Source organism: Homo sapiens, chromosome 4 (assembly GCF_000001405.40).
Source record: "Homo sapiens chromosome 4, GRCh38.p14 Primary Assembly".
Classification (NCBI taxonomy): Eukaryota; Metazoa; Chordata; class Mammalia; order Primates; family Hominidae; genus Homo; species Homo sapiens.
Genome location: NC_000004.12, coordinates 425,048 through 446,704, shown reverse-complemented (window position 1 = coordinate 446,704; position 21,657 = coordinate 425,048). Strand labels below are relative to the sequence as shown.

General features: G+C 38.0%; 1 protein-coding gene and 2 pseudogenes across 2 annotated transcripts in view; 2 read left to right on the top strand and 1 right to left on the bottom strand.

Moving 5' to 3' along the window:
- The window catches only part of ZNF721 (zinc finger protein 721), a 59,169-nt gene extending 52,452 nt beyond the window's left edge, over positions 1-6,717 (top strand). The window contains exon 3 of the mRNA NM_133474.4: positions 2,273-6,717. Within this exon, the coding sequence (NP_597731.2) occupies positions 2,273-5,010 (2,738 nt within the window). The 3' untranslated portion in view covers positions 5,011-6,717. The remainder of the gene's footprint in view (positions 1-2,272) is intronic.
- ABCA11P (ATP binding cassette subfamily A member 11, pseudogene) overlaps positions 1-21,270 on the top strand; it is a 48,775-nt pseudogene extending 27,505 nt beyond the window's left edge. The window contains exon 3 of the transcript NR_002451.2: positions 19,732-21,270. The product of NR_002451.2 is annotated as an ATP binding cassette subfamily A member 11, pseudogene (transcript). The remainder of the gene's footprint in view (positions 1-19,731) is intronic.
- On the bottom strand, positions 10,915-12,360 carry LOC100533734 (endogenous retrovirus group FRD member 1, envelope pseudogene; annotated as a pseudogene).
- Positions 21,271-21,657: the final 387 nt, after the last annotated feature.

Here is a 21,657-nt window from a genome sequence, read left to right as displayed (position 1 = left end):
AAAAAGAAAAAAAAAAGAAAATTCGGGGTTGGGTGTGGTGGCTCACGCCTGCAATCCCAGCACTTTTGGAGGCTGAGGCAGGCAGATAACGAGGTCAGGAGTTCGAGACCAGCCTGGCCAGTATGATGAAACCCTGTCTCTATTAAAAATACAAAAAGTAGAAGAGCATGGTGGTGTGTACCTGTAGTTCTAGCTACTCAGGAGGCTGAGGCAGAAGAATTGCTTGAACTGGGCAGGCAGAGGTTGCAGTGAGCCAAGATAGTGCCACTGCACTCCAGTCTGGGTGACAGAGTGAGACTCTGTCTCAAAAAAAAAAAAAAAAAGAAAACTTCCTCATTACATCTGTCCTCGTTTGTTATTGATGTCAGTAATCATATTTTTATGTGGTATATTATTACCAGATAATGATCAACAGTTTATGATCATTTTTATGCTTTTAACTTTAAAATTTTAGAGAATAATTAAAATGTTTTCCGCACTATTAGGATAGTGGTACAGAACTTTGTGTACGTGCATATCTTTTTCAGAAAGTTACATATTTTCGTATGATTATGTTTGGTTTTCTTGCATTATGTTATTTTCACTGGAAGACACTTTCTTCAGCATTTTTTTGGTAAGACAGGTGTTGTGCTAATATACTTTTTCAGCATGTGCTTATCTTGAAAGGTCTTTACTTTTTCTTCATTTTTAGGACAGTTTTGCTGGTTATATTATTCCCATGTAGAATTTTTTTTTCTCCAGCATCTTAATTATATTGCAGTTCCTTCTGGTGTGAAATAGTTTTGTTGACAGATTCACTGGTAATCTTATAAGACCACACTTATAAATGACACATCACTTTTTGTAGTTCCTAAAATGCCCTTCTTGTGTTTGATTTTTCAAACTTTGCTCATGTATATATATGTGCCTTGCGATAAATCTGTGTGTGTATCCTAGTTGAAGTTTGTTGAGCTGCTTCATTTATTACATCCTTTTTTTAACTTCTGAAAATTTCTGAGTCATTATTTTATATTTTTCACCTCCTTTTTTTATGTTTTTAATGTTTTCATTGATGTTCTGATTTTTCTGATTACATTTAGTTATATGTGTTTTCAGTTAACTGATTCAGCATTATTCAGATTACATTTAAAAAATTAGTACATCTTTTTTTATGGTTTTCTGAAAATTTTAAAATCATTATAATGTGTTCTAATATTTTGTATACATTGTAATATTTGCTTGTTATTTGAACATTAACAAAAAGCTATTTGTCACAATCTTTATTATGTTGCTTTGTCATGATGTAGTCTGAAGCCAGTTGTCTTTGGTAGAGATTATGGGAACCTGTCATACATGTTGGAAGGATGTCTCTTGTCTGGAATTTTGTGTTTATTTTTTAGTTAAAAGGGTTTCTTCATGTTTCCTGTTAAGAGGCTCTAATTGGCCAGGCATGGTGGCTCACTCCTGTAATCCCAGCAACTTTAGGAGGCTGAGGCAGGTGGATCACGAGGTCAGGAGATTGAGACCATCCTGGCTAACATAGTGAAACCCCATCTCTACTAAAAATACAAAAATTAGCTGGGCGTGGTGGTAGGTGCCTGTAGTCCCAGCTATTGGGGAGGCTGAGGCAGGAGAATGGCATGAACCCAGGAGGTGGAGCTTGCAGTGAGCCAAGATCCCGCCACTGCACTCCAGCCTGGGCGACAGAGTGAGACTCCATCTCAAAAAAAAAAAAAAAAAAAAAAAGTCTCTCATCACTTGCTGTACCTGTTGCCTGTATTCAGCACTTCAGTCTGCTTTTGAAATATTTATATTTTGTCTTCGAATACCCAAGTTGTTCTTCCAAAGTATCACCATTTCTTTCAGCACTGTTTTATTGGAGGCAGAAATCAGTTTTTGTAAAGACCCCAAAAGCCAGAAATAAGGATATGTGTGTCAGTATTTTTCTTCTCTTTTAAGGAAAAAGGAGTTGAGAGCTTTCTTCTAATGGCATAGTGCTATATTGGGGAGGAAGAGCTGTTGGTGGGTAAATTGAACAAACATTCCTTCCTGTTCTATGTGGCTCTTGGCATTGTGCTTACCTGAGGGATTGCATACAATTAACTCATTTATAGATTTCACACAAAGGCATTTTGATCACCATATGTTTGTTACATGTATATGTGAAGAAGTTATGACTTGTGGTATTTTGTTATGTGATCTTACTAGCGTACTTTGTATAATCTTATGATTTGTAAAGTATATGCATATGAATCTAGTAACTGGGATAATTTGTTATTTTTGTTTCTTTCAGCTATGTGTTCTCATTTCACCCAAGACTTTTTGCCAGTGCAGGGGATAGAAGATTCATTCCACAAACTTATACTGAGAAGATATGAGAAATGTGGGCATGATAATTTACAATTAAGGAAAGGCTGTAAAAGTATGAACGTGTGTAAAGTGCAGAAGGGAGTTTATAATGGAATTAATAAATGCTTGTCAAATACTCAGAGCAAAATATTTCAATGTAATGCACGTGTCAAAGTTTTTAGTAAATTTGCAAATTCAAACAAAGATAAGACAAGACATACTGGAGAGAAACACTTTAAATGTAACGAATGTGGCAAGTCATTTCAGAAGTTCTCAGACCTAACTCAACATAAAGGAATTCATGCTGGAGAGAAACCCTACACTTGTGAAGAACGTGGCAAAGACTTTGGATGGTACACAGACCTGAATCAACACAAGAAAATTCATACTGGAGAGAAACCTTACAAATGTGAAGAATGTGGCAAAGCCTTTAATAGGTCAACAAACCTTACTGCACATAAGAGAATTCACAACAGAGAGAAAGCTTACACAGGTGAAGATCGTGACAGAGCCTTTGGATGGTCCACAAACCTGAATGAATATAAGAAAATTCATACTGGAGATAAACCCTACAAATGTAAAGAATGTGGGAAAGCCTTTATGCATTCCTCACACCTGAATAAACATGAGAAAATTCATACTGGAGAGAAACCCTACAAATGTAAGGAATGTGGCAAAGTCATTTCCTCATCCTCAAGCTTTGCTAAACATAAGAGGATTCATACTGGCGAGAAACCCTTTAAATGTTTAGAATGTGGTAAAGCCTTTAATATTTCCACAACCCTTACTAAACATAGGAGAATTCATACTGGAGAGAAACCCTACACATGTGAAGTATGTGGCAAAGCCTTTAGACAGTCCGCAAACCTTTATGTACATAGGAGAATTCATACTGGAGAGAAACCCTACACATGTGGAGAATGTGGCAAAACCTTTAGACAGTCCGCAAACCTTTACGTACATAGGAGAATTCATACTGGAGAGAAACCTTACAAATGCGAAGACTGTGGCAAAGCCTTTGGACGGTACACAGCCCTGAATCAACACAAGAAAATTCATACTGGAGAGAAACCTTACAAATGTGAAGAGTGTGGCAAAGCCTTTAATAGTTCAACAAACCTTACTGCACATAAGAGAATTCACACCAGAGAGAAACCCTACACATGTGAAGATCGTGGCAGAGCCTTTGGATTGTCCACAAACCTGAATGAATATAAGAAAATTCATACTGGAGATAAACCCTACAAATGTAAAGAATGTGGGAAAGCCTTTATACATTCCTTGCACCTGAATAAACATGAGAAAATTCATACTGGAAAGAAACCCTACAAATGTAAGCAATGTGGCAAAGTCATTACCTCATCCTCAAGCTTTGCTAAACATAAGAGGATTCATACTGGCGAGAAACCCTTTGAATGTTTAGAATGTGGTAAAGCGTTTACTAGTTCCACAACCCTTACTAAACATAGGAGAATTCATACTGGAGAGAAACCCTACACATGTGAAGTATGTGGCAAAGCCTTTAGACAGTCCGCAATCCTTTATGTACATAGGAGAATTCATACTGGAGAGAAACCCTACACATGTGAAGAATGTGGCAAAACCTTTAGACAGTCCGCAAACCTTTATGTACATAGGAGAATTCATACTGGAGAGAAACCTTACAAATGTGAAGAGTGTGGCAAAGCCTTTGGACGGTACACAGACCTGAATCAACACAAGAAAATTCATACTGGAGAGAAACTTTACAAATGTGAAGAGTGTGGCAAAGACTTTGTATGGTACACGGACCTGAATCAACAGAAGAAAATTTACACTGGGGAGAAACCTTACAAATGTGAAGAGTGTGGCAAAGCCTTTGCCCCATCAACAGACCTGAATCAACACACGAAAATTCTTACTGGAGAGCAAAGTTACAAATGTGAAGAGTGTGGCAAAGCCTTTGGATGGTCCATAGCCCTGAATCAACACAAGAAAATTCATACTGGAGAAAAACCTTACAAATGTGAAGAGTGTGGCAAAGCCTTTAGTAGGTCAAGAAACCTTACTACACATAGGAGAGTTCACACTAGGGAGAAACCCTACAAATGTGAAGATCGTGGCAGATCCTTTGGATGGTCCACAAACCTGAACGAATATAAGAAAATTCATACTGGAGATAAACTCTACAAATGTAAAGAATGTGGGAAAGTGTTTAAACAGTCCTCACACCTGAATAGACATGAGAAAATTCATACTGGAAAGAAACCCTACAAATGTAAGGAATGTGGCAAAGTCATTACGTCATCCTCAAGCTTTGCTAAACATAAGAGGATTCATACAGGTGAGAAACCCTTTAAATGTTTAGAATGTGGTAAAGCGTTTACTAGTTCCACAACCCTTACTAAACATAGGAGAATTCATACTGGAGAGAAACCCTACACATGTGAAGAATGTGGCAAAGCCTTTAGACAGTCAGCAATCCTTTATGTACATAGGAGAATTCATACTGGAGAGAAACCCTACACATGTGGAGAATGTGGCAAAACCTTTAGACAGTCTGCAAATCTTTATGCGCATAAGAAAATTCATACTGGAGAGAAACCCTACACGTGTGGAGACTGTGGCAAAACCTTTAGACAGTCTGCAAATCTTTATGCACATAAGAAAATTCATACTGGAGATAAAACCATACAAGTGTAAAGAATGTGGCAAAGCCTTTAAGTCATACTACAGCATTCTTAAACATAAGAGAACTCATACCAGGGGAATGTCTTACGAAGGTGACGAATGTCGCGGTCTTTAAATGCTCCTCAATCCTTTCTAATCATAAGATAATTCATAATGAAGAGAAACTCTAAAATGTGAAAAATGTGAGAAGGCTTTTAATCACACCTCAATCTGTTGTAGACATAAGAGTAATTATATTGATGAGAAGCCAAATTAAAATTAAAAATGTGGCAAAGACTTCCAATTCTAGTCAGTTCTTAATGTAATTCCTACTGAAGAAAACACCTGGAAATACAAAAAATGTGGCAAAACTTGTAACCAATGCTTAGCATTTTTGCACATGATAGTATTTATATGTGAGACTACTTGTACAAACATAAAAATATACAAAAGCTATTGTCTACTTGAAATTTATAGTTAATAAAAGCATTATAAATGTAATTTCTGTTGAAAGACCTTTTAGAAAATATAGGCCATTAAAGTGAAGAATAGTCTTAAGACAGAGAATACAAAGATAAAGAGGGCTCTAGTACCTGTACTTGTATCCCAGAACTTACTATATGCATTTTGTACTAGAGGAAAACTCTGAAGCAGTTGCTTAAACTTTGTTCAACATCAGAGAATTTATATTGGAGAGAAATCCTACAAATGTAATAAATGTGGAAAAACCTCTGTTCAGAAACTGCAGGTTAAGAAACCAGAGGCCAGGCGCGGTGGCTCACGCCTGTAATCCCAACACTTTGGGAGGCCAAGGAGGGTGGATCACCTGAGGTCGGGAGTTCAAGGACAGCCTGACCAATATGGAGAAACCTCGTCTGTACTAAAAATACAAAAATTAGCAGGACATGGTGGTGCATGGCTGTAATCCCAGCTACTCAGGAGGCTGAGACAGGAGAATGGCTTGAACCCAGGAGGTGGAGGTTGCGGTGAGCTGAGATCGTGCCATTGCACTCCAGCCTGGGTAACAAGAGTGAAACTCTGTCTCAAAACAAGATAAAAAGAAAAGAAACACCAGAGAATTTTTACTAGAATATAATTTGTAGGTGCAGTAAATGTGAAGAAATATTTAGGCTAAAATTAAGACTATGTAAACATCAGAGGATTTACAGTAGAAAGAACTAAGGAACTAACACTTCAGACTTTAAAATAAATCAGAGTATTAAGTATAACAAAAGTTGAACCTGTTAGAAAATTTCCTTGTATATAAGTTGAAAAGTAGGTTTTTGAAGAGATATATTCGAAATATATTTTTTCACTTGAAAAAAGTAAAAATTTTTTTCAAAAGCAAATAATTCAACTCTAAAATTATACTATTTCAACATTCTCATTTATGTGAAAGCATGTGATAAATTGTTGCTGCGTCAGAGATATGAGAAACTCCTTTGCATTAGGTGGGCATTATTCATAGACTTCTACATGAAAGAGAAGAGAAATAAAAGATGCACCAGGAAAATCTGAGCAGAGAGGCTTTTAGTGGTTGACTTACTGAGTGATGCCTGAAGTAGGTGTTCAGAGTAATACTTTGCGTTATACTGAGAGAGAATCTGAATTTTAGTAGTAAATTGTTTTGCCAACTGTATATTTATGTAATAAGTGCAATAAAATGCAGTAAATTTTAAAATTCTCTTAAGATAATGTGTGAACTTAATTTTTGAAATAAAAATTGTTATTGTGTTAAAATTTTTGTGCCGTGAATGAAGTGTTTTATTATGCCACCAACTTTCACCTATCCAACCTTACTCAAGGGTGTACGTTAAAGATGGTAACAATGTACTATCTGGTAATATAATTGAATGACATCTCTAGTCTTTTTTAGTGGCTTTCAACAGCAAATAAATTGAAGAATATTGTTTGCATGTTACATTTTTATTCTTATTGAAATTTTTCAAAAGGTTTTGTGAGTACATAGTATGTGTATATATTTATGGTATATATGGGTTATTTTGATACAGGCATACAGTATGTAATAATCACACCACAGTAAATGAGTTATTATCACCTCAAGCATTTATCCTTTGTATTACACACAATCCAGTTACACACTTTAATTATTTTTAACTACAGGTCATTTTATGTTTGTAATAAACATTCATACATTCCTGAGTCTTGAATACTTTTAAAAAATGTTTCATATATATCTTTGAACATGTGGCATGTCCTCCTGCAAACACATACAGACATTTAATTTACTTGGAGTTAAATATATAAATTTTGTGCTCTAAAGATAAACGTTGGGCACAAGGAAATTATGGAGCAAGTAATTGTGTTTGCATGAGAGTTTATACCTATTTTCCAAAGAAAATAGCAATATTGGAACAAAGAAGGTTCTATTAATACTGTGGATAGGTAATTTACTAGAAATCTAAAACATTTTGAAATCAAATCTATATTTTCTTCTTTTCATTTAATTACTGTACAATCTAATGAATCATCGTTGAGAATCTCCCCATGCCAATCAATTCTGGTTTTATGTGGTCCTCATGCTCTAGCTATAAATTTCTCATTTTTTTTGTTTCCACTTCATAAAGTATGTGAGCTTGTCAGAAATTATAAGAATCATTTTTATAAAATTTAGTGCACCAAAAATACTTTTTAGATGTAATTTCACAATGTGTGTATTTATGTTTTATTTAATTAGAACATTTCATTTTATTGGACAACCTTATATAAGCTGTTTTCTTTAGTTATTGTTCTTTTCACTTTTTATAACTAAATAAGTTTGTTCAGGCAAGTACTGGGAAGACATAAGTATTGGGGATGTTTTGATAAATAATTGTAGTGAACAAACACAAAGTGCTGGGTGTGTAATAGATGCTCCATAACTAGCCATAAATATTCCTGGAGTTAGTTCGTAGCTCCAAGTAAAAGATTAAAAATATCTATGTTGAAGAAATGTCATTAATTGTGCATGTGGAGAGGACGTGTTCCCAGGCTGCAAAACTGACTCAGTCTGAATTTAAAGAGGATTTCTGTTTTTATTTTCTAATTATCTTTAGTTTTGTGATGTCTTCTTTTCCTTTGTGTTTTGGCTACAGTTTCCTCGCTGATCTCTTCATGCCGTGTAATTTCACATGGACTTTCAAGGTTCAGATGAGAAGTTTAGAATTTTTAATGTGGTATATTATTGTTTTTAACTGGGTTGTTTGAGATTATTTATAATTTATCAATACAACATTCAGATGACTTGAGAGTAATTCACTGTTCACAGGTAAGAGGATTAAGTCAGCATTGCTTCTCTGTATTGGTAAAGGAAAAATTGTATGAGATTCTAACAAAAAGTGTGTTAAACATAAGTTAGAATAGGTAAAACATTAATATAAGTGGGTTGCATATTGTAAGCACCATATGAAGAAACTCATCAGAATTTTGATATCTCTTAAGATAAAATATATCTTAGAAAAAAAATTTTTTTTTTTTTTTAGACAGAATCTTTCTCTGTTGCCAAGGCTAACCTGCAGTGGCACGATCTCAGCTCACTGCAACCTCTGCCTCCTGGGTTCACGTCATTCCCTTGCCTAAGCCTCCCGAGTAGCTGGGACTACAGGCGCCCACTCCCACGCCTGGCTAATTTTTTGTATTTTTAGTAGAGATGGGGTTTCACCATGTTAGCCAGGATGGTCTCGATCTCCTGACCTCATGATCCGCCTGCCTCTGCCTCCCAAAGTGCTGGGATTACAGGCGGGAGCCACCACACCCGGCCCTCTTGAAATTTTTAAGAGACTTAATGGTAGGTGAAGGATTTTACATATCATTTTCTATGACATAGCAAAACTATTTTTTTAAGCTGAATCTTTTGAGTGTAAATGTTAAGTGTTGGAAAAATAGAATGATCTGTGTAGATTCAAGATTCAAAATCTGCAGTGATCTTTTCTGTTGAGATTCATGTTACAATCTTGAGGAAATTTGTTATGATTTTTTTGTTTTAGTGGATGCAGTTCATGAGGTACGGTTTTCATTTTTAGTCACTTTATCCAAGTCCTTCGTCACCTTCTCTGGAAAATCAGATTATGGCAGCTATTGAATTCAAACGTTCATTAATTAATGTAATTCAGCATATACATAATAATATATACCAAATACTAACCATAATCCTGTATATCTGTTAATTTTCACAGAAACTCAATGCATAGACATTATTATTATCCTTATTTTACAGAGGAAGGAACAGAGCCACAGAGAAAAATGACTTGCTCACAACAGAAGAGCCAGTAGTAAAACACAGGCAAGTTTGACTCTAGAGATAAGTCTTAACTACTACGGTAAACAACCTCTTCAAACAGAAAATACATGATTATCTTCAACACCCATTTTTTTTTTTGAGACGGAGTCTCGCTCTGTCGTCCAGGCCGGAGTGCAGTGGCGTGATCTCAGCTCACTGCAAGCTCCACCTCGCGAGTTCACGCCATTCTCCTGTCTCAGCCTCCCGAGTAGCTGGGACTACAGGTGCCCGCCACTGCGCCCGGCTAATTTTTTTGTGTTTTTAGTAGAGATGCGGTTTCACTGTGTTAGCCAGGATGGTCTCGATCTCCTGACCTCATGATCCGCCCACCTCGACCTCCCAAAGTGCTGGGATTATAGGCATGAGCCACCGTGCCCGGCCTCAACACCCATCCTTAATAAAAAATTAACAAACATTGGGCTGGGCGCGGTGGCTCACGCCTGTAATCTCAGCACTTTGGGAGGCAAAGGTCTCGAACTCGAGACCGTCCTGGCTAACATGGTGAAACGCCGTCTCTACTAAAAATACAAAAAATTAGCCAGGCGTGGTGACAGCACCTGTAGTCCCAGCTACTTGGGAGGCTGAGGCAGGAGAATGGCGTGAACCCAGGAGGTGGAGCTTGCAGTGAGCCAAGATCACGCTGCTGCACTCCAGCCTGGGCAACACAGCGAGACTCCGTCTCAAAAAAAAAAATTATAATTTCATTTATGTGAGATATTTTTAGTAGTCAGCTCATAAAAACAAAGTACAATGGTGTTTGTCAAGAGGTGGGGGAGAGTGAAAATGTTACCAGGAAGTGCAAAGTCCTTAGTTCTTGTTTTCTTGAGAGAAACAATTCAGCCCAGACACAAAGAACACACCAAAAGAGGAGTAGGTTGGCCCAGCTGGAAACAGTCTTGAGAGTTACATGTTGCAGTTTTTATTATCATAGACTTAAAAAAAATTTCCCACCTCTGTCTTAAGTGTCTGCCTTTGTTTAGTATCCTGCTTCCTGGTAAATCTCTTCTTTTATCCTCATCGAGTTTCTGCCCAGGTCTGTGAGATGCTTCCTTACTGTCAGCTGATATACATGTGTGAGTTCCAGTGATCAATGAATCTTAATGGCAGCACTGCTTATTACCGCCATCTTAGGAAAATAATATAGCAGTCAAATGTGTACTTACTATGCCTACGTATCTCTTAGGAATTTTCCTTTAGCCCTTTTTCCCTTTTTATCAGCATGTAGCTAGCTACATTCTGACAGTTTAATCACAGTATGAGCAATTACTGGGTGTCCTAAGTGGTGTTTCAGGGTGTTCTTCATAGGTATTTCTGCTCCTCTCTGCTCAAATTTAGCATACATGTTTTGGGTTGTCTTTGGAGCATGAGGCTTTTTCCTCTGGGGCTCTTTTTTTCTGTTCATGTCTAACTGCCTACTCGAACATTCCCTCAATAGATTGTGACTCTAAAAATCTTTGAGACAGTGCACTGTGGGTCTTCTGTAACTACTTCCTGGTGACATAAGATAACTCATCAGCATCTCATTATCTTGCTCTTTGTCAGAAAAACATTCCCTCCATGTTTTCCCAGGTTTGACTTGCAGTATCCAGAGGAAATGTGGAGAAACACAGTTGTACAGAAGGGAAGAAAATAGGTTGATACTCCTGTTGCAGGACCATTTGAAGTCTGAGAGTTTCCAGGTGAGAGGAAACAAACCTGGTTACTTGATTTAGTGAGTAAAGCTCACAAAAGAGAAAAAGGAAGACAAAAGCTAGGGATCCCCCAAAAAGGGATGTGATGAGAATTTGAACCAGTTGGCACCCCAGGAGAACTAGCCCTTAGTGGCATGTTTCTGATGGTGACAGGCTTGGTTTATAAAATCTCTAACATGGTCCTGGACTTTCCCTAATCTGTTAACCCAGAAACAGCATTTTTCTCCTAGCATAAGGCAAATGCTTTTGTGAGCTGCAGCTAGTGTGGCAAGACCTCTACAATTTTGAACTACAGCCACGAGATAATCAACTTGTTGCTGTCACTCTGTAAGAGTCTGAGCAGTGGTTTCTGTTTTTTGAGTCAGTTCTAGAGACAGGTTGTGGTAAGTTGAGAAGGCAATAATTATGCCAGCTATTCCTGTAGTGGCACTTGTGATGCCAAGCTCATTGAGGAAAAAAATAAAAAAGATAAACTGCACAGTTGATCTGGTTTGAGGTAGTAAAGGGTAACAGCAAAGAATCATCACCCAGGACAATGCAAATTTTAGGGGTGAAGGAAGCCAGAGTGCATGTCCTCGTCAAGTTTCCAGAGAGGCAGAGATAAGCCTGCATTTCACACAGGAAGTAAAGTTCTGTAGTCAATAAAAATGGATGCAGAAGGTGAGGTCAGTTCCAAACATTGACCAGGGTCCTTGTTGGCTATCCGATATGTGAGATTCTGCCACTAAAGTTGCTGCTGCCAGGGGAGCCAGACATGGGTCCTATGTGTTTTTTTGTTTCATTTTATCATGGGGATGTCTCTAGTAGTATCAAGGAGAAGGGTTTTCTGAAACAAAGACTTGAAACCTTTTGCATAATTTATACTGGCTTGGTTGACACCATGGGTTGGGTTGACTGCCAGAGGTGTGACCGACGCAGAATTCAGTGGCATCATTTTGGATGAATGCTCCAGGTGCTAAAACATTTGGGGGAGAATAGAAAATCTCATTTGATGTTGAGAATATTTAGTGAAACAAAATTTTGAGAAATATCAATAATGGTGCTCGTTGTGTTGCATTGTGCTGGGTCTAAAGCATCCACGATGGTTCTGGAGTTTACAGTAGCACAGATGCATAGGAGTACCTGGCCAATGAGGGTAGCAGGGGAGAACAAGGGGCTTGAAACAATGGGGGTGGGTTTAAGAAAATCTTAAAAGGCTGCTTTAGGTTTTGTCAAAAAGATTATACTAGCAGAGGGAAGGTTTTGTGTAGAGAGGTCCCGATGGTAGGTGAAGCTAAGTTGGGCTTGAGTAGATGTCCATTCTTGTATTGTGGCCAAGTAGGCCATTCCCACCCAGGATGAAGAGGAATTCATGACTAGCTAACAGGTTGAGGCATAGGAAGAATTGGTAGAGTTTAGTAGTTGTGGAGTTGCCTGCAAAGTGCTTAAAAAAAAGGTTGTGGGCAGTTAGGGCATATGAGGGTGACTTTAGTCAGAAGTATGAGTAATGACCATAGAACATTAGGCTGCATGGCTCCAAGGGAAGTAGAATAGGGCCAAATTGAGATGCTTGATTAAGAAGAGAGACTGTTAACCCAATGAATATTAGAGAGATCACTACTCAGATTATGGCTTTGATGTTTAAATGTAGGAGGGACATAGCAAACTCTTCCCTGGAGAGGGTGTTGGTTTACAGTAACAAAGGCATATTAGTAAATCTGCAGAGTATTATGACTTCTAATATAAACATGAAAATATTACATCGCTGATGGACTAAAGCAGTCAAAAGTAAAATAACTAGGTTAAAAAATTAATATTAGATAAAGCAAGCTCTTAATGGAACACCTGGTGGTGTGCAAGTTAGGGTTAAGGTAAGAATCAACAGTACCACTGCAAATAAGATTGCCAATATTGGGATTACCCTACTTTGAGATAAAATGAGGAAGAGCATTACTTAGCTTCTCATTTAGAGAAAAATTTGTAAGTCCTCCTGTGGGTCACAGGAGTAGGTAAGTGTTGGTTCAATCTTTCTTTGGTTCCTTAACGTGTTTCCAGTTGTATTCAAAAATAATGTGTCCAGCTAGAGATGCCAGGAAACTTGATAGCTATTGGGGTGAGAAGTATGATAGTAAAATTGTTCTTCTGTAATGTGGTTAGTTGAGATCCAGGAGATCCACCTCTCCAGATTTTAATGAGGACTTGTTACCCTGCCTGGTTATAAGGGTTGTTGGAGTGGGGGTCAAACTCAGAATTGTTTGTCCAAACTCCTGGATGGCCTCTTGAAATTGAGTCAGCGATTTTATGTACCGGGTTAATTTGGTAACCTCTGGGTATAATACTAGGTTTGCATGTAGAAAGGGTCTCTAATATAGGACTTCGAAGAAACTAAGGCATAGATGTAATTTAGGGGCTGTTCTAATCTGGAGAAGTGCCATGGGCAGAAGTTCTAGCCATGGTAAAGAGGCTTCCTGGCATCATTTGCTCAAGGTCCTTTTAATAGCTTGATTAGTCCTTTCTACCTTCCTGGGAGACTGGCTTTCAGGAGGAGTGTGAAAAGTATTTTACCCGTAGGGCTTTTGCCACTGCTTGGGTAGTTTGCAAAATAAATTATGAACCATTGTTACTTTGTGAAGACTGTGGAAACCCAAAGAGATAATTTCTTTCAGAATGATTCTGGCAAGTACCTGAATCTTTTCTAGTATGAGAGGCTTCAACCCAGGCAGTAAGAGGGTCCCCAAAAATCAGAAGGTATTTGTAGCCTAGATAGGTTGGCAATTAAGTCTACCTACCATTCTTCCCACTGGGTAGGTTTCTTGTTGCTGAACTGGCTGAATTAAGGAGAGTGGCTTAGGCCTGCAGGATTACTATAGATGTCCAGACTTTACAAACTTGTCAAAAAGAGAGTTTTAGTTTTGTTTGTCTGTTGTTTACAGCTGATAGATATGCTCTCTCCCAAAGAGACAAGAATTATGGAGTGCCCTTTTTGCTCTCTGCTGGAGGACCTCGGGGGGCGGGGCGGGGGGGAACTCTCTCAGGGCCAGGTACAGTGGCTTACACCTGTAATCCCAGCACTTTGGGAGGCCAAAGTGGGCGGATCACGAGGTCAGGAGATCGAGACTATCCTGGCTGACACAGTGAAACCCCATCTCTACTAAAAATACAAAAAATTAGCCAGGCGTGGTGGCGGGCGCCTGTAGTCCCAGCTACTTGAGAGGCTGAGGCAGGAGAATGGTGTGAACCTGGGAGGTGGAGCTTGCAGTGAGCCGAGATCGAGCCACTGCACTCCAGCCTGGGCAACAGAGCGAGACTCCTTCTCAAAAAAACAAAACAAAACAAAACAAAAAAACAAAACTCTCAATTTACACAATCTTTCAGGTCCTAGGGTATATTCACGTTTGATACCCCATTTCTTTTTCTCTTGAGCATATTGCAGGGGGGGCAGGTTGTTAGGTACAGTTGAGATAAGGGCCATAAGGAGTTCCCCAGAAAGGGTGGTGCCCCTAGCTGCTTGGCCAACCTGCCTGTTTCTCTAGATAATCTCATCTTGGCGTAGCCCCAGCAATGATCCACCTGCCTCAGCCTCCCAAAGTGCTGGGATTACAGGCTGGGATAATGAGCCACCATGCCCGGCCTTGCTCCACAGTCTTACAGTGTACACAGTTGAATATTGTCATACACAAGTATAACGTAAAATGAATACATCCTTGTCTGAGATCTCAGATAAAAAGTGCTCTGCTCTTTCCTGTTTAGTATGATATAAGTCATTGATTTGTCATACATGGCCTTTATTGTGCTGGGGTACATACCATCTATACCTAATTTGTTGAGTTTCTTAAAGCACAAAGGCATGTTGAATTTTGCCAAATACTCCTACATAGACCAGCAAAATAAAGATGTCTAGATGTCTAGTGGCAAACTTAATTAAAAAGGGTAACCACGCTCTACACTGAGAATTATATAACATTGATAAAAAACTGAAAAAGACATGAAAAATTGAAAGATATTTTTTGCTCATGAATTGAAAAAATATAAAAGTGGCTATACTACCCAAGGTGATCTACAGATTCAATGCAATCTCTATCAAAATGCCAATGACTTTTTTCACAGAAATCGGAAAAAAAAAGATTAAAATGTATAGGGAACAACCAAAGACCCACGAACGGCAAAAGTAATCCTGAGCAAAAAGAACAAAGCTAGGAGCATCACACTTCCTGGTTCCAAAACATACTATGAAGCTATAATGAGCAAAACAGGATGATACTGACATAAAAACAGATGAAAGTATCCAGTGAGCCTAGCAATAAATTCATGAACCTAGAGCCAAGTGATTTTCAACAAAAATGTCCAGAACACACAGTTGGAAAAAGACAGTCTTTTCAATAAGTGTTGCTAGAAAAATTTATCTACATAATAAAAAAATGAACCTAGGCCCCTACCTCTTATGATATAAAAAACTCAATCACAAATAAAAATTTAAATAGAAGCTGGGCACAGTGGCTCACGCCTTTAATCCCAGCACTTTGGGAGGCCAAGGCGGGCAGATCACGAGGTCAGAGGTTCGAGACCAGCCTGACCAACATGGTGAAACCCCATCTCTACTAAAAATGCAAAAATTAGCTGGGCATGGAGGTGTGTGCCTGTAATCCCAGCTACTCGGGAGGCTGGGGCAGGAGAATCGCTTGAACCCGGGAGGTGGAGGTTGCAGTGAGCCAAGATCACGCCACTGCACTCCAGCCTTGGTGTCAGGGCAAGACTCCGTCTCAAAAAAAAAAAAAAAGGAAACCCAAACCTATAAAGCTATTAGAAGTAAACACAGAGGAATGCTTTACCACATATTGCAGAACAAATAATTTTTAAGACCTCAAGACACACAAAAATATGCAAATGGGATTGCAACAAACTAAGAATCTTTTGCACAGTAAACAATGAGATAATCTATAGAATGAAAGAAAATATTTGCAAAATATACATATGATGAGATAAACTTGCAGAATATATAACAACATATATAACACATAATTTGAAAATAGGCAAGAGACTTACAGATACATTTTTCTTTTTCTGTCTTTTTTTTTTGAGACAGGTTCTTACTCTGTCACCCAGGCTGGAGTTCAGTGGCCTGATCTCAGCTCACTGCAACCTCCGCCTCCCAGGCTCAAGCGATTCTTCCGCCTCATCCTCCCGAGTAGCTGGAATTACGGGTGTGCACCATCACGCCTGGCTAATTTTTGTATTTTTAGTAGAGACGGGATTTCACCATGTTGGCTAGGCTGCTCTCAAACTCTTGACCTCAGGTGATCCACCCGCATCAGCCTCCCAAACTGCTGGGATTACAGGCGTTAGCCACCGCACTCGGCTAAGATACAATTTTCAAAAGAAGAAATACAAATGGCCAAAAAGAATATGCAAAGATGTTCAGCATCACTAATTATCAGGTATGCAAATCAAAGCCACAACAAGATGAGACTTCACTGCAGTTAGAATGACTGTAAGTAGAAAGACAAAAAAATTATGAGAAGGTATAGAAAAGTTAACATATTCAGCTGGTAAGACTAAGTTAGTACAGCCGTTATAGAAAAAATGTATCACAAAGTGACATATATTTAAACAATAAACATTGTAATTTAAGATGGTTCTTTTGATTGTAAGACAATAAACATTTGTGACCATGCAAGAAAAAAAAAATTCAAATTGCTGGATCATGTTACAGAAAGAAACCAGATACACTGAGACAAATACTACATGACCTTACACATATGTGGAATCTAATAAAAACAGACAGTGAAGCCTTCATGCAACTGGTCTTAGCAATCAGTTTTTGGATATAACATCAAAGGCTTGGGAAATAAAAATACGAACATACACATAGTACTACAACACTGTATCCAAACTATTCCAAGAACATTTAAAGCGGGACTTTAGGCGGGCATGGTGGCTCACGCCTGTAATCCCAGCACTTTGGGAGGCCAAGGCGGGTGGATCACGAGATCAGGAGATCAAGAGCATCCTGGCTAACACTGTGAAACCCCATCTCTACTAAAAATCCAAAAAAAGAAAAAAAAAATTAGCCGGGCGTGGCGGCAGGTGCCTGTAGTCCCAGCTACTCAGGAGGCTGAGGCAGGAGAATGGCATGAACCCGGGAGGCAGAGGTTGCAGTGAGCCGAAGTCGTGCCACTGCACTCCAGCCTGGGTGACAATGAGACTGTCAAAAAAAAAAAAAAAGCAAGACTTTAAGTAGATATTTACACATGCATGTTCTTCATTATTTACAAAAGATGATTCCTGGAAAGAATACAAATGTCCCTTTAGGGATCAGTATCAAATTTTTAAAATGTGACATATACATATAATAGAATATTATTTCATTTTAAAACAAAGATATTCTGACATATCTTACAAAAACAAAGCCTGAGAATATTGTTACATATAATAGTCAAAAAGAAACACATTATATAATTACACTGATAAGAATATGGAAACCAGTGAAAATAATAGAAACAGTAAGTAAAATGGTATTCTTCAGGAGCTAAAGAAAAAGGAAAAAAGGGCACTTTATTGTTTATAAGGTACTAAATTTTACTTTTGTAAGGTAAAATTAGAGATCCATTGCAAAATAAAGTAAGTGTACTTAATACCACTAGACTGTACACTTGAAAATATTTAAGATGGCAGTTACACATTTTTCATCACAACTAAATATTTACATCTACCTAAAAAGGTTACAGTCTGTAAAAATCGCCTTCAAATAAGAAGTGTTTCTCTCACAGAATAACATAATCAAACATAAATAGATGGTAATTTTACACTGTTTCTTTGACTACTCACCCACACAAGAAAACAATGATGAACACCCAAGTAAATAAAACATTTATAAACACCTAGGGCAATATTTATACAGGCAAATACTACATAGATAACTTTCTTGCCAAGAGAAATGTCTGATTTATATATATATATATTTTAATTTGCTCCAAGTGAAACCCAATGACATTTATTTGAATTAAACACCACGTGGTCATAAAAGGTACAGGTTAAAATTACCATACAAAGATGAAGATTAGGCCAGGTGCAGTGGCTGATACCTGTAATCCCAGCACTTTGGGAGGCCAAGGCAGGTGGATCACCTGAGGTCAGGAGTTCGAGACCCCAGAATAACCAATATGGAGAAACCCCATCTCTACTAAAAATACAAAAAATTAGCCGGGCGTGGTGGTGCATGCCTGTAATCCCAGCTTCTCGGGAGGCTGAGGCAGGAGAATCGCCTCCCCAGGAGGCAGAGGTTGTGGTGAGCCAAAATCATGCCATTGCTCTCCAGCCTGGGCAACAAGAGCAAAACCCTGTCTCAAAATTAAAAAAAAAAAACAAAACCAACAAAAATATAAAGATTAAAAACAAACCACTAAAATGGAGTTGAAAACTAGAATAAAAAATTCTGACCTATAAAATATTGAATCTAATATATATGTATCATAAAGACAATCTTTTAAATAACTACAGTTTTCAACTGTGACTATGTACTTATGAAGAGCTGGCATTTTGAATCTTTGGCATTCAAGGTACAGCAGCAAAAGAAAATTAAGTCAATAATTAATAAAATGCTCTGATGAGAATGAGGCATTTCAATACATTTACTTATTCCACAATTTGAAAATTTGAGCATTTCAGACATTTTGAATTCAAAATAAAAAACATTTGACATAGAACATATCAGAAAGTAAAATATACAAGGGGAATGACATAGCAAGATGGCAGAATAGGAGGTTCTCTACCCACATCTACGGTTATAAAAAAAATGTGGCAACAATATGGCTTCACTGGGGGCTGAGGGTGCCCACAGGGTTCTTCCCACTTTTCTCTACCCCTGTATTTCGCTTGGCTTTCTAAATTCATCTTTGCTCCAGGATCAAATATTGAAGACTTTGTGCATTCACTGAAGCGTCAGGATATAGTTTTGGAAATAGATGACCTCAGAAACAGAAATGGCTCAGATGATCCCTCCTACAATGGAGCCATCATAGTGTCTGGTGACCAGAAGGATTAGATTTTCAGTTGCATGTAATACCAAGAAATCGAATTGTTTTCCGTTCTTATGGGAATTGTTAGCAATGCCCTTATTGGAATTTTTAACTTCACAGAGCTTATTCAAATGGAGAGCACCTTATTTTTTCGTGATGACATAGTGCTGGATCTTGGTTTTATAGATGGGTCCATATTTTTGTTGTTGATCACAAACTGCATTTCTCCTTATATTGGCATAAGCAGCATCAGTGATTATTAAAAAAAGTTCAATCTCAGTTATGGATTTCAGGCCTCTGGCCTTCAGCATAATGGTGTGGACAGGCTCTGGTGGACATTCCATTACACTTCTTGATTCTCCTTTCAATACATTTAATTTACTACTTCTCATTTCTGGGATTCCAGCTTCCATGGGAACTCATGTTTGTTTTGGTGGTATGCATAATTGGTTGTGCAGCTTCTCTTGTATTCCTCATGTACGTGCTTTCATTCATCTTTTGCAAGTGGAGAAAAAATAATGGCTTTTGGTCTTTTGGCTTTTTTATTGTCTTAATATGTGTATCCACAATTCTGGTATCAACTAAGTAAGAAAAACCCAACTTAATTTTGTGCATGATATTCATACCTTCCTTTACTTTCCTAGGATATGTCGTTATTGATCCAGCTCAACTTTATGTATATGAGAAACTTGGACAGTCTGGACAATAGAATAAATGAAGTCAATAAAACCATTCTTTTAACAAACTTAATACCATACCTTCAGAGTGTTATTTTCCTTTTTGTCATAAGGTGTCTGGAAATGAAGTATGGAAATGAAATCATGAATAAAGACCCAGTTTTCAGAATCTCTCCACGAAGTAGAGGAACTCATACCAATCCAGAAGAGCCTGAAGAAGATGTTCAAGCTGAAAGAGTCCAAGCAGCAAATGCACTCACTACTCCAAACTTGGAGGAGGAACCAGTCATAACTGCAAGCTGTTTACACAAGGAATATTATGAGACAAAGAAAGTTGCTTTTCAACAACAAAGAAGAAAGCAGCCATCAGAAATGTTTCGTTTTGTGTTAAAAAGTGAAGTTTTGGGATTACTAGGACACAATGGAGCTGGCAAAAGTACTTCCATTAAAATGATAACTGGGTGCACAGTGCCAACTGCAGGAGTGGTGGTGTTACAAGGCAACAGAGCATCAGTAAGGCAACAGCGTGACAACAGCCTCAAGTTCTTGGGTACTGCCCTCAGGAGAACTCACTGTGTCCCAAACTTACAATGAAAGAGCATTTGGAGTTGTATGCAGCCGTGAAAGGACTGGGCAAAGATGCTGCTCTTAGTATTTCATGATTGGTGGAAGCTCTCAAGCTCCAGGAGCAACTTAAGGCTCCCGTGAAAACTCTATCAGAGGGAATAAAGAGAAAGCTATGCTTCGTGCTGAGCATACTGGGGAACCCATCAGTGGTGCTTCTAGACGAGCTGTTCACCGGGATGGACCCTGAGGGGCAGCAGCAAATGTGGCAGATACTTCAGGCTACCATTAAAAACCAGGAGAGGGGCGCCCTCTTGACCACCCATTACATGTCAGAGGCTAAGTCTCTGTGTGACCGTGTGGCCATCATGGTGTCAGGAACGCTAAGGTGTATTGGTTCCATTCAACAGCTGAAAAGTTTGGTAAAGATTATTTACTAGAAATAAAAATGAAAGAACCTACTCAGGTGGAAGCTCTCCACACAGAGATTTTGAAGCTTTTCCCACAGGCTGCTTGGCAGGAAAGATATTCCTCTTTAATGGCATGTAAGTTACCTGTGGAGGATGTCCACCCTCTGTCTCAGGCCTTTTTCAAATTAAAGGCAGTGAAACAGACCTTCAACCTGGAGGAATACAGCCTCTCTCAGGCTACCTTGGAGCAGGTGTTCTTAGAACTCTGTAAAGAGCAGGCGCTGGGAAATGTTGATGATAAAATTGATATAACAGTTCGATGGAAACTTCTCCCACGGGAAGATTCTTAAAACGAAGAACCTCCTAACATTCAATTTTAAGTCCTACTGCATTATTAGTTTCCATAATTCTACAAGAATGTTTCCTTTTACTTCAGTTAACAAAAGAAAATATTCAATAGTTTAAACATGCAACAATGATTAAAGTTTTCATTTTTAAAAATTTTAGGATGAAGGAAACAAGGAAATATAGGGAAAAGTAGCAGACAAAATTAACAAACTCAGACATGTTATTCATCCCCAACATGGGTCTATTTTGTGCTTAAAAATAATTTTAAAATCATAAAATATTAGGTTTGTTTTTGGTTATTATCAATAAAGTTAACACTGAGCACATTTTACAAATAAAAATGAGTTTTTTGCCTAAATTTCAAATATATCAGCTATTTTTAAACATTAGTTACTCAGATTCTAATTTAATGTGACATTGACTATAAGAAGATCTGATGAAATGGCACAACATAACATTTAATTATAATGACATTCTGATTACAAAATAGGTGTGAATTTTAGTACATATTGAAATTATATGGAAGAAGATAACCATAATCTGTAAGAAAGTACCACAGTTAATATTTTCTTTAGCCAACTAATATTCAATGTATTTTTTATGGGTCCTTTTTCAAAGGTAGTATCAGTAGGCATAGTCATTTTCTGTATCTTTTCACCTCACAGTTCACGAACATTTCCCATGTCCTTATAACACTTTTGTGTTATAAAATTGCTG